Genomic DNA, 15,552 nt, shown 5'->3' with positions numbered 1-15,552 from the left:
CTCACATTCTGTAGTAGTTATTAGTGCTGTTCATCAAAGATTCCCAGCTCCCACTTTCCAAGCACATAATGGGTTTGCACTTCTTGGTTCTCTTGTGATTGGATGGAGCCATGTAACTAATTATGGCCATTGAGTCGTGAGAGAAGTGATATCACTTCCCTATGGGAAAGCTTATATGACCATGCAACGAGCTCCAGGACGCTCCCTATCCCTAGGCCAACAACCAGCAATTTTGAGATTATGGCTGCTCTGTCAGCATGAGCTTTGATAGACTCCAAAGTTTCCTTCTGAGCTAAATAGATATGGAACATGAATAAGAAATAAATTCTTGCTGTTTGAAGCCACTGAGATTTTAGGATTGTTTGATGCCACTGTATAATTTTTATTTTCCAGGATAATAAAGAAGATGGTACCTAGAATTGCTGGGGGTGCCATTTAAAGAATTATATACCAGTGTACGTATGTAGATAGATACTACTTACATACATGCTTAGGAGAGGCAAGGAATTTTTTTTTTTTTTTTTTTTTTACCAGAGTCTGGGAGAATGCTTTCCAGATTTATATGAGGGTGAAATATTTGGTTAACTGTTACCTAAGAAAACTTGGAAGGCAGATTTATGTTCTGAATTAGTTCATAGGCCTGGGGAAGAGGTTGAAAAACAGAAGGCATTTGTTAATTATTATCGTTATTATTATTATTTTTTTGAGAAGGAGTTTCACTCTTGTCACCCAGGCTAGAGTGCAGTGGTGCAATCTCGACTCACTGCAACCTCCGCCTCCCGGGTTCAAGCAATTCTCTTGCCTCAGCCTCCCCAGTAGCTGGGATTACAGGTGCCTGCCATATTAATTATTATTAAATGCATTTGAGAAACCATTAAATAAAGGCAAGAGTTCAGTTTATGAGAAGAATAAAAGAGAATAGAGAGAGTTCAGAAATTCAGGGACTTGAAGATTTTGAAAAAGTAACTTTCTCATCCGCAATTGGCAAAAGAAGAAATCGGGAAGACCTTTGGGTGAAAGTCCAAACAAAAATTTGACACCCCAGTTTCTTTTAACTGAACAACATTGCTCAGGAAAAAGATAATGAAAGCATGACTTTCCCACCAGAGCCTGACAGACTCATGTACCCACAAGCAAATTGAGAGAGACATGAGAATGAGAAAGCCTGGGAATAGTGCAAATGTAACATGCATGTCTAGAAAATAACTTGAGTGAGGCTACTGGCACATTGGTGTTGATAGGAGTCAAACAGATAAAAAGCTTGCTACACTTTTGGAAGCATCATGAAGCAACAATCTGGGGAGGGACTTGTTCTTCACATAGAGGGCACATGGAACAGTGATGTAGCAGACACTTTGGAGTGTGCCTGTTATGGCAGTTCTAGAATATGGCCACACATTCTTTGACCCTCTTTTTATCTGTGCTTGTTACTGTTTCAACCAATAGAGCACAACAGAAGTGACACTATGTTCCTTGTTCACTGGAACACTCATTTTTAGAGCCCCGAGCTGCCATGTAAGAGGCCCATCTTACCTGAAGAAACCCAAGTCACAGGGGAAGCTACTCATCTAGCTGTTAGGTCAACAGTGCCATCTAAGCACATCCTGCAGCCATTTCAGCCCAAGCATAGAATACATGAGTGAAGAAGCCATCTCTGAGGTGAATCCTCCAACCCAGCTCTTTATCAGCACCCCACCATTCAATCCATCCCAGCTGAGACCCAGATATCATGGAGCAGAGAAAAGAATGGCACACAGTGCTCTTTCCAAACTTCTGACCTACAAAAACCGTGAGCAGAGTAAAATTTTGTATTTTACACCATTTGTTGAGGTGATTTTTTAGGTAACAATAGATGTTATGGGCTGAAAAGTGTGTCCCCTAAATTTATATGTTGAAGCTCTAACCCCTAGTACCTCTGACTGTAACTCTGTTTGGAGATAGGGCCTCTAAAGAGGTAATTAAGTTAAAATGAGGCTATTTGGGTGGGCCCTAATCCAATTTGACTGGTGTCCTTATAAGAAGGAAAGATTAGGGTGCACAGAGAGGCACCAGAGATGAGTGAATACAGAAGAAAGAGCATGTGAGGACGCATTGAGAAGGCACCCATCTGCACACCAAGGAAAGAGGCCTCAGATGAAACCAAACCTGCCAATGCTTTGATCTTGAACTTTGATATAGTTTGGATATTTATCACCTCCAAATTGCATTTTGAAGTTTGATGCCCAGCCAGCCAGCATGGTGACTCATACTTGTAATTCCAGCCCTTTGGGAAGCCAAGGCAGGAGGATTGCTTGAGGCCAGGAGTTTGAGACCAGAGTGAGCAACATGGCAAGATCCCATCTTTACAGAAAAATTTAAAAATTAGCTGGTCATGGTGCCATGCACTTGTAGTCCTAGCTACTTGGGAGGCTAAGGTGGGAGGATGCTTGAGCCCAGGAGTTCAAGGCTTCCGTGAGCTATGATTGTACCACCACACTCTGGCCTGTGTGACAGAGCAACACCCTGTCTCAAAAAATAAAAAGCAAGAAATTCAGCCAGGTGCAGTGGCTCACGCCTGTAATCCTAACACTTTGGGAGGCTGAGGCGGGTGGATCACTTGAGGTCAGGAGGAGTTCAAGTCTAGCCTGACCAATATGGCAAAACCCCATCTCTTCTAAAAATACAAAAATCAGCCAGTCATGGTGGCATGCACCTGTAATCCCAGCTACCCAGGAGGCTGAGGCACGAGAATCACTTGAACCCAGGAGGCGGAGGTTGCAGTGAACCGAGATCGAGCAACACTGCACTTCAGCCTGGGCAACAGAGCAAGACTCTGTCTCAAAAGAAAAAAAAAAAAGAAAAAAATTTTATTCCCAATGTTGGAGGTCATCATGAATGGCTTGGTGCCATTCTTGTGGGATTGAGTCCTTATTCTTAGTTCCTACAAGATATGGCTATTAGAAGGAGCCTGATATCTCCTTCTCTCATTCTCTCCCTTGCTTCTTTCCTCTCACCATGTGATGTTGGCTCCCCTTCACCTTCTGCCATGAGTGGAAACTCCCTGAGGCCCTCACCAGAAGCAGATGCTAACAACATGTTTCCCATACAGCCTGCAGAACCATAAGCCAAATAAACTCATTTTCTTTATAAATCATCCAGCCACAGGTATTCCTTTTTAGCAACACAAACAGACTAAGACAGACTTCTAGCTTCCAAACTGTGAGAAATAAATTTCTGATGTTTAAGTCACTCAGTCTGTGATACTTTGTTATGGCAGCTCTAGCAAACTAACATATACAGATTACTGGAACCACTGCCAAGCTCAAGAAAAATCTTTTCTCCCCCATTTCCAGCCAACTCTGCCAAATACACTAAGTGAGACTTCAGTATCCTTTTTTTTTTTTTTTTAAACTATGTGACCTTCATCCTTAACATTTACTTAAAATCTAGGCTTGGGCTCATTACTAAAGCTTAAAGAATGGGATCCTCTCAGATGGAAATTGGTTTTAGGATTCAGAGAGAGCTAGGGAATTTCCTCAATGTGGGCCCAGGAGTAGAAAAATCGGAGGTGATCTCATGGAGCAGACACTTAGGAATACGCAGGTAAAACCGACTGGGCAAGTTCTCTAAGATTTTTGCTTTTTCTAATCTAGTAGAACTTTTTTGAGGGGCAGTTATAGTCAGTCTATTCTGAGAGATAGCCAAGCATCCTTATTGTAAACTCTCAATCTTGGTTAAGTTAGCTCCAGTTGGTTTCTGTGACTTGCAATCAGGAAATCCTAAATAATCCAAGTGCCAGTTTGGGCCTAATAACTGCAGACATCCATGGGATGGGGGCCTAGACAGAAACATGTGAGGGGACCCCTATTCCCAGCTCTCAACTCACCCCTAACATGCCCAGAAATGACTGGAGAGACCTTTGGGGAGGTCAAGAGGTCTTACAGGAGCACGTGGGCAAGATGGGTCAGAGAAATTTGAGTTATTACGGTAAATGTGACCTTATTTATCCTCACAGCCTTCGGAGGCCTGAGGAAATTTGAGTTACAGAGAGATAGATGAAAAAAATTGCAGGAATCTGTGACAACAGTGCCAGGCAGACTAAAACCCAGCATGAACTGGGGTTTCCAAAAAGTGCTAAAGAAAAAAGTCACTTCAGGAAGAAACACAAGACAAATTAAATCCTCTGGCAGTGTACTATGAAATGGCTGGCCACGATGAAAAATCAATAAATCAATCAAAAATTTTTCAGGAAGAAGCTTCATGAGCCAAAAAGGAAGGCCTCTGATCCAGCTGCTAATAGGAGAGGAAAAGGAAGCAGACCACAATTATTCTTTGTCGAGCCTGACCTAAGCCTAGTCAGGCTATAGCAGGCCCAGACTCCACAATGGATTGGTTCTGTGATGGGATGAGGAGAAGGAGAAATGCTGGGAAGCCTGGCTTGGAGAGAATCCCAGAGGTCAATACACTAGCCAGCAACTCCATCCTAGCCAATGACTCAGAAGCTTCTTGTCCCTTTGCACTGACACATATATCCTGATAGAGAAGCAGACATGTCCTGATAGGCACATATACCCTGATAAAGAGCTACGTATTTCCTGATAGCATCAACACATATGGTGAACTTAATGATCATCCCTGAATACTCACATCCTAGAGAGGACAATGTTTTTCTGCACCATTGATTCGAGGCCAATCCATGAGATTTGCTCTGGCCAGTGAAGTGTAAGCAGAAGTGGCATGTGTCATTTCCAGAGAGTCACTTTTAGACTTGGTGTGTGGTTTGCTATTTCTCCCTTTTCTCAACCACAAGACTGGTAATGTTCTAGATAGAGGCCTGTCCATCAGCCTGTGTCCCAGGGTGAAAGGAATATGAGCAGAGCTGCAACAATTTGTAATAATCATGAAATGTAGTGAGAAATAAATCTTTGTTACCAGGCATTGCAATTTGGGGGATTATTTGTTACTGAAGCATAACCTAGTGTATTAGTCCATTTTCACACTGCTATAAAGATACCACCTGAGACTGGGTAATGTACAAGTAAAAGAGGTTTAATTGACTCACAGTTCCTCATGGCTGGGGAGGCCTCAGAAAACTTAAAGTCATGGCAGAAGGCAAAGGAGAAGCAAGTACCTTCTTCACAAGGCGGCAGGAGGAGAGTGAGTGCAGGGGAAATGCCAGACACTTATCAAACAACCAGGTCTCATGAGAACTTGCTCACTACCATGAGAACAGCATGGAGGAAACCGTCCCCATGATCCAATCACCTCCCACCAGGTCCCTCCCTAGACATCTGGGGATTACAATTCAAGATGAGATTTGGGTGGGGACATAGCCAAACCATATCACCTAGCCTCTCCTGGCTCTTACAACCTGCAAAATCAATAGCACGGTGATGAGAATAGAGCACTTCTCATTACCAAGAAGAATCTACAGGCTTCAGGGGATGGCAGTGAAAGTGTATTACAGGAAGTACTGGGGCAGCCCATCAGAATTTCAGGAGTAAGATACATGTGAGAATTTGTTTGTAAAAGCACAGCCTCAGAAATCCCCTGAATAGCAAATATATTATTTATTTTTACCCCAACTGGAAAAATAAAGGGCTGATGAAGTCAAATAAAACAGAGGTTATATTATATTACTGAAAAGGATTTGGGGAGATTTGAGATTTTGTTTGTTTTGCTTTGTTTTTTAGCTAGGTTTTGGGCCAAAAGGAGATAAAGTAAAGATTAACCTACTTAATTGAGGAAGAAGATAAATGGTGACAGATTGTGAGAAACAAACTCACCCTTTTAAAACCAAAGAATGAACTCAGAGACCCAGAGAACAGTGAAAGTGAGACTTTTAATGACAGTTTTGCAAGACTGGGTGTTTGATGGGCAGGCATACCCAGCACAGTTTTAACAAGCAATTTATCCCCTAGTGTGCAAATCCCTCCCCTGTTCCTTATAGGCTGAATACTATGGGGTCACAGTCTTCCGGACGTTGCTTATTGATTGTTGGGTAGGGGCTTTAGATGTTTTCTTTAGGGTTGTCTTGCTGCATTTTGTTGCAGCCCACAATGCATTCCAATCCTAGTTAGCTCAGGGGCTCTTTAAGTATTTGACTTATGACCTAAGTAGCTGGGCAGGCTGATAAGAGCAGAAAAAGTGAGCTATTTGCAGGCTAGTAAACTTTTATCTTAGACTAAACTTTTTTGGTTCGGGTGACAGCAACTAAGGTGGGGGCTGGGGGCTGACAAACAGGCATTGGCTATGCAAGCAGGGGCCTAGTATATCCTGTTTCTTCTTTAGTTTGCTGACTTAAACTGATTTAAGGCACTTTGTCTTGGAAATGGACTACTATATGCATTATCTCCTTCACAGATGCACACACAATCCCTAAAACTACTGTTGGTTTTGGGTATAATCTTTTGGATGTAGGACCCAGGGTGTGGTACTCTGCTGATGGCCCAGGCCATAGTCCCTTAGATGTGACTCCTTTTCACATACTGTTTGTGTCTCCATTATCAAAAAGCCAGTTCTTGCTCCCTATTTATTTTTCTATTCTTCACAGCAGCCTTATCTTGCTTTAAGCAGCTCCTTTTCTTGGGACAGGAAATGTGTCCCTGAACCTTTGCTTGGGGGCAAGATCCCAGTTTCCATGGGTCCCAATGTCCCTTTGCTGTCTACCTGCCTCCCGGATTCTGATGTTCCACATCCAGCTTACCGCCCACTTGTGAAGACATCAGTACCATCTTGGAATCTTCTGTCTCCCATCTCCTTGCTGGCCCTTTGCCTGGAATAAAACAGAAGTGGTTGGAACCCTAGGTCATCATTCTTTCCTTGCTAACCCGAGACTCTGTATTTGTCTCTATTGGGGGAACCCACCCCCAATATTTCAACATAGGTTCTTTAAATTTTCCATAAGTGTCAGCTGGCTGAGAAATAAACAGAGACAGTACAAAGACAGGAATTTTACAGCTGGGCCACCAGGGGTGACATCACATATTGGTAGGACCATGATGCCTGCCTGAGTCTCAGAACAGCAAGTTTTTATTAAGGGTTTCAAAAGGGGAGGGGGTGTAAGAACAGGGAGTAGGTACAAAGATCATATGCTTCAAAGAGCAAACAGTAGAACCACTAATAAGCATCTAACAAAGATCGCATGCTTCTGAGGGAACAGGACAAAGGGCAAAAGCAGAACCACTGATAAGGGTCCAACAAAGATCACAGGGCAAAGGGCAAAAGGAGAACCACTGAAAAGGGTCTGTGTTCAGCGGTGCACGTATTGTCTTGATAAACATCTTAAACAACAGAAAACAGGGTTCAAGAGCAGAGAACCAGTCTGACCACAAATTTACCAGGGTGGAGTTTTCCCAACCCTAGGAAGCCTGAGGGTTCTGCAGGAGACCAGGGCTTATCTCAGTCCTTGTCTCAACTGCACAAGACAGACATTCCCAGAGCGGCCGTTTATAGACCTCCCTCCAGGAACACATTCCTTTCCGAGGGTATTAATATTAATATTCTTTGCTAGGAAAAGAATTTAGCAATATCTTTCCTACTTGCACATCTGCTTATAGACTCTCTGCAAGAAGAAAAATATGGCTCTTTTTGCCTGACCCCGCAGGCAGTCAGACCTTATGGTTGTCTTCCCTTGTTCCATAAAAATTGCTGTTATTCTGTTCTTTTTCAAGGTGCACTGATTTCGTAGTGTTCAAATACACATGTTTTACAATCAATTTGTACAGTTAACGCAATTATCACAGTGGTCCTGAGACGACGTACATCCTCAGCTTACGAAGATAACAGGATTAAGAGATTAAAGTAAAGACAGGCATAAGAAATTATAAAAGTATTATTTGGGAACTGATAAATGTCCATATTAAGATGAACTCTTCACAATTTATGTTCCTCTGCCACAGTTCCAGCGGGTCCCTCCATTCGGGGTCCCTGACTTCCCATAACATGTCTCAACATTCAATCACCTCTGTGTTGGTCCTACCCAGTAGTAACTCTTGTGTCCAGCTCTTCTCTACCATTATGAAGCTGTGCTTGTCACAAATCAGAATGACAGCTGATATAAATTAATGGGAGACTCAATCTTTAAAATGACTTCAACTAGTTTTCATGAGTTATCTGTGAAAACTAGCCTGCAAAATAGCTCACTTTTTCTGTTCTTATCAGCCTACCCAGCTACTTAGGTCATAAGTCAACAAAAAAGACTCCACGTGGAAAGTTTACTCTTTTTTTTTTTTTTTTTAAAGAGATGAGGTCTCACTATGTTGCCCAGGCTGGGCTCTAACTCCTGGGTAGAAGTGGTCCTCCCACCTCAGCCTCTCCAGTAGCTGAAACTACAGGCTTGAGCCACCACACCCAGCAATGAGGAAGGTTTTGTAGGCACACTCAAAAGTGGAATGACATGACTCCATGATGGGGAAGATCCAGCTGTCTGTTGTTCATAAGAAATGGGCCTGAGGTATAATCAGATTGACCACAGGAACCAGTTGTGTAGCCACCAAAAAGCTTTCCAAAGAAAACAGGAATTCATCTCTCTTTAAAATATTTTTGCCTATGTCTGGAAGAGGCTGCAGGCTCTTACTTGTGAGGCTGAGGTTGGGCAGAATAGCTGGATTAAAACACTAACTTGAGGCCAGGCATGGTGGCTCATGCCTGTAATCCTAGCACCTTGGGAGGCTGAGGCACTGGATTGCCTGAGCCCAGGAGTTTGAGATCAGCCTGGGTAATATGGTGAAGCCCAGTCTCTACTAAAAATACAAAAAATTAGCCAGGCATGGTGGTGCATGCCTGTACTCCCAGCTACCCAGGAGGCACGAGAATTGCTTGAATCCAGGAGGCAGAAGTTGCAGTAAGCCAAGATTGCACCACCAAACTCTAGCCAGAGTGACAGAGTGAGACCCTGTCTCCAAAAAACAAAAATAAAAAATAAACATTAACTTGAGCAATGCCATAAAATTCATACAAAAATGGAGGAACTATTCTAAATAAAAGAGTCATGAAAAACAAATGCAAATGTGAGATCTTTTATTTTATTCTAGATTTAAAAAATAGCAGAAAGCATTATTTGCCTAATAGGAAAATTGTATATGGTCTGTACCTTATGTATTATTAAGTATATTAAATTACTGTTAATCTTCTTAAGTGAGATAATGATATTGTGGTTTTGAAGACAATGTCCTTGTTCTTAGAAGACACACATTGATGTGATTTAGCATGAAATGGCATGATGTTAGCAATTTACTTTCAAATGATTCAGCAAACATTTTATATATGTATCTTATATATGTATAAAATCTAGGTGAAGGGCATATAGGTGCTGATTGTACTAGTCTTCACATTTTTGGTAGGTTTGCAAATTTAAAGGGAAAATTTTATCTTGAGAAACCATTAAAAGAAGAGATAATTTTTGCTTAAAGAAATGAAGAATGAAAGAAGTTAAGGTTGCTCTGTCTAATTATGTGAGGAACTGCATCAGAAAAAAAGGGATGGAACTTCAGAATATCTCCAGAGAACAGAGGTAGCATCTAGGCCTGGGAGAAACCAGAAAGTAGATTTTGGCTTAAAAGAAAGAAAACTGCGTAATAAGACTCTTGCTCCTTGGCTACAGCCAGGCACTCTAGTAGCAGAAGAGAAGACATAATTTTAAGGTGAGAATGTGTTTGTCACTAAATACGATCTTTGCATTTTTATTACCCAGGAATGACCAGAAAAATCATGGGAGCTGCCTGAGAATTAAGGGAATAATTTCCCCACTGAATAAAAGTTAAAGAAACAGTGAATATTTGATACGGTTTGGTTGTGTCCCCACTCAAATCTCATCTTGGATTATAATCCCCATAATCCCCATGTGTCGAGGGAGGGACCTGGTGGGAAGTGATTGGATGATGGGGGCTGCTTCCTCCCTACTGTTCTCATGATACTGAGTGAGTTCTCACAAGATCTGATGGTTTTATAAGGGGCTCTTCCTCCTTTGCTTTCTCTTCTCTCTCCTGCTGCCATGTAGGACATACCTTGCTTCCCCTTCATCAACCACCATGATTGTAAGTTTCCTGTGGCTTCCCCAGCCGTGCAAAACTGTGAGTCAATTAAACCTCTTTGGTTTATAAATTACCCAGTCTCAGGTGAAAGTGTGAAAATAGACTAATACAATATTTTAAAAAATATTCTTGAGTAGAGCTTGTTCAAAATACTGAAAGCTTTTGTTCATAATTTAGTTATTGTATACTACATTAACTGATTTTCAAATGTTAAGACAACATGGCATTTATGGGATAAATGCACTTAATCATGATATATAATCACTTTTATATTTGCTGAGACTCATTTTCTTTTTTTTTAATTATAATTTAAGTTTTAGGGTACATGTGCACAACGTGCAGGTTAGTTATGTATGTATACATGTGCCATGTTGGTGTGCTGCACCCATTAACTCGTCATTTAACTTTAGGTATATCTCCTAATGCTATCCCTCCCCTCTCCCCCCACCCCAATACAGGCCCCGGTGTGTGATGTTCCCCTTCCTGTGTCCATGTGTTCTCATTGTTCAATTCCCATCTATGAGTGAGAACATGCGGTGTTTGGTTTTTTGTGCTTGTGATAGTTTGCTGAGAATGATGGTTTCCAGCTTCATCCATGTCCCTACAAAGGACATGAACTCATCATTTTTTATGGCTGCATAGTATTCCATGGTGTATATGTGCCACATTTGCATAATCCAGTCTATCATTGTTGGACATTTGGCTTGGTTCCAAGTCTTTGCTATTGTGAATAGTGCTGCAATAAACATATGTGTGCATATGTCTTTATAGCAGCATGATTTATAATCCTTTGGGTATATACCCAGTAATGGGATGGCTGGGTCAAATGGTATTTCTAGTTCAAGATCCCTGAGGAATCGCCACACTGACTTCCACAATGGTTGAACTAGTTTACAGTCCCACCAACAGTGTAAAAGTGTTCCTATTTCTCCACATCCTCTCCAGCACCTGTTGTTTCCTGACTTTTTAATGATCACCATTCTAACTGGTGTGAGATGGTATCTCATTGTGGTTTGGATTTGCATTTCTCTGATGGCCAGTGATGATGAGCATTTTTTTCATGTGTCTTTCAGCTGCATAAATGTCTTCTTTTGAGAAGTGTCTGTTCATATCCTTCACCCACTTTTTGATGGGGTTGTTTGTTTTTTTCATGTAAATTTGTTTGAGTTCATTGTAGATTCTGGATATTAGCCCTTTGCCAGATAAGTAGGTTGCAAAAATTTTCTCCCTTTCTGTAGGTTGCCTGTTCACTCTGATGGTAGTTTCTTTTGCTGTACAGAAGCTCTTTAGTTTAATTAGATCCCATTTGTCAATTTTGTCTTTTGTTGCCATTGCTTTTGGTGTTTTAGACATGAAGTCCTTGCCCATGCCTATGTCCTGAATGGTATTGCCTAGGTTTTCTTCTAGGGTTTTTATGGTTTTAGGTCTAACATTTAATTCTTTAATCCATCTTGAATTAATTTTTGTATAAGGTGTAAGGAAGGGATCAAGTTTCAGCTTTCTACATATGGCTAGCCAGTTTTCCCAGCACCATTTATTAAATAGGGAATCCTTTCCCCATTGCTTGTTTTTCTCAGGTTTGTCAAAGATCAGATAGTTGTAGATATGTGGCATTATTTCTGAGGGCTCTGTTCCGTTCTGTTCTGTTCTGTTCTGTTCCATTGGTCTATATCTCTGTTTTGCTACCATACCATGCTGTTTTGGTTACTGTAGCTTTGTAGTATAGTTTGAAGTCAGGTAGCATGATGCCTCCAGTTTGTTCTTTTGGCTTAGGATTGACTTGGCAATGCAGGCTCTTTTTTGGTTCCATATGAACTTTAAAGTAGTTTTTTCCAATTCTGTGAAGAAAGTCATTGGTAGCTTGATGGGGATGGCATTGAATCTAAAAATTACCTTGGGCAGTATGGCCATTTTCACAATATTGATTCTTCCTACCCATGAGCATGGAATGTTCTTCCATTTGTTTGTATCCTCTTTTATTTCATTGAGCAGTGGTTTGTAGTCCTCCTTGAAGAGGTCCTTCACGTCCCTTGTAAGTTGGATTCCTAAGTATTTTATTCTCTTTGAAGCAATTGTGAATGGGAGTTCACTCACAATTTGGCTCTCTGTCTGTTATTGGTGTATAAGAATGCTTGTAATTTTTGCACGTTGATTTTGTATCCTGAGATTTTACTGAAGTTGCCGATCAGCTTAAGGAGATTTTGGGCTGAGACGATGGGGTTTTCTAGATATACAATCATGTCATCTGCAAACAGGGACAATTTGACTTTCTCTTTTCCTAATTGAATACCCTTTATTTCCTTCTCCTGCCTGATTGCCCTGGCCAGAACTTCCAACACTATGTTGAATAGGAGTGATGAGAGAGGGCATCCCTGTCTTGTGCCAGTTTTCAAAGGGAATGCTTCCAGTTTTTGCCCATTCGGTATGATATTGGCTGTGGGTTTGTCATAGATAGCTCTTATTATTTTGAGATACGTCCTATCAATACCTAATTTATTGAGAGTTTTTAGCGTGAAGGTTGTTGAATTTGTCAATGGCCTTTTCTGCATCTATTGAGATAATCATATGGTTTTTGTCATTGGTTCTGTTTATATGCTGGATTACGTTTATTGATTTGCATATGTTGAACCAGGCTTGCATCCCAGGGATGAAGCCCACTTGATCATGGTGGATAAGCTTCTTGATGTGCTGCTGGATTTGGTTTGCCAGTATTTTATTGAGGATTTTTGCATCGATGTTCATCAGGGATATTGGTCTAAAATTCTCTTTTTTTCTGTGTCTCTGCCAGGCTTTGGTAGCAGGATGATGCTGGCCTCATAAAATGAGTTCGGGAGGATTCCCTCTTTTTCTATTGATTGGAATAGTTTCAGAAGGAAGGGTACCAGCTCCTCCTTGTACCTCTGGTGGTGTTCGGCTGTGAATCTGTCTGGTCCTGGACTTTTTTTTGGTTGGTAAGCTATTAATTATTGCCTCAATTTCAGAGCCTGTTATTGGTCTATTCAGAGATTCAGCTTCTTCCTGGTTTAGTCTTGGGAGGGTATGTGTGTTGAGGAATTTATCCATTTCTTCTAGATTTTCTAGTTTATTTGCATAGAGGTGTTTATAGTATTCTCTGATGGTAGTTTGTATTTCTGTGGGATCGGTGGTGATATCCCCTTTATCATTTTTTATTGCATCTACTTGATTCTTCTCTCTTTTCTTCTTTATTAGTCTTGCTAGTGGTCTATCAATTTTGTTGATGTTTTCAAAAAACCAGCTCCTGGATTCATTGATTTTTTTGAAGGGTTTTTTTGTGTCTCTTATTTCCTTCAGTTCTGCTTTGATCTTAGTTATTACTTGCCTTCTGCTAGCTTTTGAATGTGTTTGCTCTTGCTTCTCTAGTTCTTTTAATTATAATGTTAGGGTGTCAGTTTTAGATCTTTCCTGCTTTCTCTTGTGGGCATTGAGTGCTGTAAATTTCCCTCTATACGCTGCTTTGAATGTGTCCCAGAGATTCTGGTATGTTGCGTCTTTGTTCTCGTTGGTTTCAAAGAACATGATTATTTCTGCCTTCATTTCGTTATGTACCCAATAGTCATTCAGGAGCAGATTGTTCATTTTCCATGTAGTTGAGTGGTTTTGAGTGAGTTTCTTAATCCTGAGTTCTAGTTTGATTGCACTGTGGTCTGAGAGAGTTTGTTATAATTTCTGTTGTTTCACATTTGCTGAGGAGTGCTTTACTTCGAATTATGTGGTCAATTTTGGAACACGTGTGGTGTGGTGCTGAAAAGAACGTATGTTCTGTTGATTTGGGGTAGAGAGTTCTGTAGATGTCTATTAGGTCCGCTTGGTGCCGAGCTGAGTTCAATTCCTGGATATCCTTGTTAACTTTCTGTTGCTGAGACTCATTTTCTAATATTTTGCTAAGAATTTTTCCACCTATATGCATGAGGGATATTGATATATTGCTTTGTTTTCTTGTCTTTATATATATATCAGTGTTTGAGTTGGAAACAACATTATATATGTGCACCTTGAGATCAGGAATACGACAGTGAATAAGATAGACCTGGTTCCTACCCTCAAGAAGTTTACAGTCTGTTGGGGAAAGTTAGAGATAACAAAAGAAAATAAGTGTATGTATTTGTACATTTACAATTACAGTTGTGATAATGCTATAAAAGAAATAAATGATGTTATATGATTTTTAAAGTAATGGAACCAAGTAGGGAGGGCTAGGGGGACTTTCTTAAGGGGATGATAAGGAAGTTCTCTCCAAAGAAAACTAAAGAATGAGTCAGCTCCGGCCAGGCGCAGAGGCTCATACCTATAATCCCAGCACTTTGGGAGGCTGAGGCGGTGGATCACTTGAGGTCAGGAGTTCAAGACCAGCCTGGCCAACATGGTGAAACCCTGTTGTTTAGTAGAAATCTCTACTAAGCATACAAAAAATTAGCCAGACGAGGCAGTGGGCGCCTGTAATCTCAGCTATTTGGAAGGCTGAGGCAGGAGAATTGCTTGAACCCAGAGGCAAAGGTTGCAGTGAGCTAAGATTGCACTACTGCCCTCCAGCCTGAGTGGCAGAGTGAGATGCTGTCAAAAAAAAAAAAAAAAAAAAAAAGAATAGGTCAGCTGGAAAAGGAAGTAGGGGTATGAAATATTTCAAACAGAGGTAACAAAAGATACAAAGGCCCCAGGCAGGAAAAACCTTGCAAATTAGAGAAACTGAAAAAGATGTGCTTAGGGCATGATAAGTGACCTTAAGACAGATAGAGAAGGAAAGACAGCCAGCTCAGGCAGGCCATTCTAGTCCACAAAGGATTTTGTATTTTATTCTAAGTGTTATGGGAATCCATCAGTGAGTTCAGTACAGGAGCATGGTTGGCAGAGTAGGTTTAATTATTTTCATCTTACAGATTATGTTACTGAGTCTCAGAGAGGTTGATTCATTCCGGATCACACAGTAAGTGGCTGAAAACCAAAATAATTCAACTCCTAAGGTAATACTCCTTGGACTATTATATTTTGATTTTTGGTCTTAATGATGACCTCCACTTGATGCTGGAGCCTCAAACTTGAATTTGTCATATCTTCTACTTGTGAGTTATTTGCTTAAAAGGCCCACATAGAGGGGAGCCTGAAAGCTGGTTTACAGTGAGGCTTGGCACCGTCTGTACATTTCTCTTACCCATTCTGCCCCAATAATAGAGAACTAAGCACTTTTCAGGGAAAGATGCAGATGGATGAAGGAGGTAATCTTTATAAAAATTAATACTAAAATACAATTTTTCCTTTAATGGTGAAATCAACTTAAGATTTAGTTTCCAAAATGGTAATCCAGCACCAACATAGGAAGATAGAATTTTGAGCATTGCAGGCATAAGTGTATTAAGGGCTGTGTGAGTTTATGGGGACTGGCAGGGGCAAGACTTGGGAAGATGAGCTATTTTTCAGACCTAAATATTAAAAAGCTCTTTACTGAGGGCACAAGAAGAGAAAACTGGATTTTACATCTAGGAAATTTAGACTTTGTCAAATACCACAAGAATGCTATGAGGGA

The 15,552-nt window shown here is 40.8% G+C and overlaps 1 annotated feature.

Annotated features, from left to right (window-relative positions):
* Positions 4,832–4,881: an enhancer, noted in NCBI's record as "active region_28485". NCBI's record gives its function as "activates an Ori minimal core promoter by ATAC-STARR-seq in GM12878 lymphoblastoid cells {active_cell/tissue: GM12878}" and the evidence as "EXISTENCE:reporter gene assay evidence [ECO:0000049][PMID:35858748]".

This window comes from Homo sapiens, chromosome 9, assembly GCF_000001405.40.
Source record: "Homo sapiens chromosome 9, GRCh38.p14 Primary Assembly".
NCBI lineage: Eukaryota > Metazoa > Chordata > Mammalia > Primates > Hominidae > Homo > Homo sapiens.
This window is presented reverse-complemented; position numbering and strand designations above follow the sequence as displayed.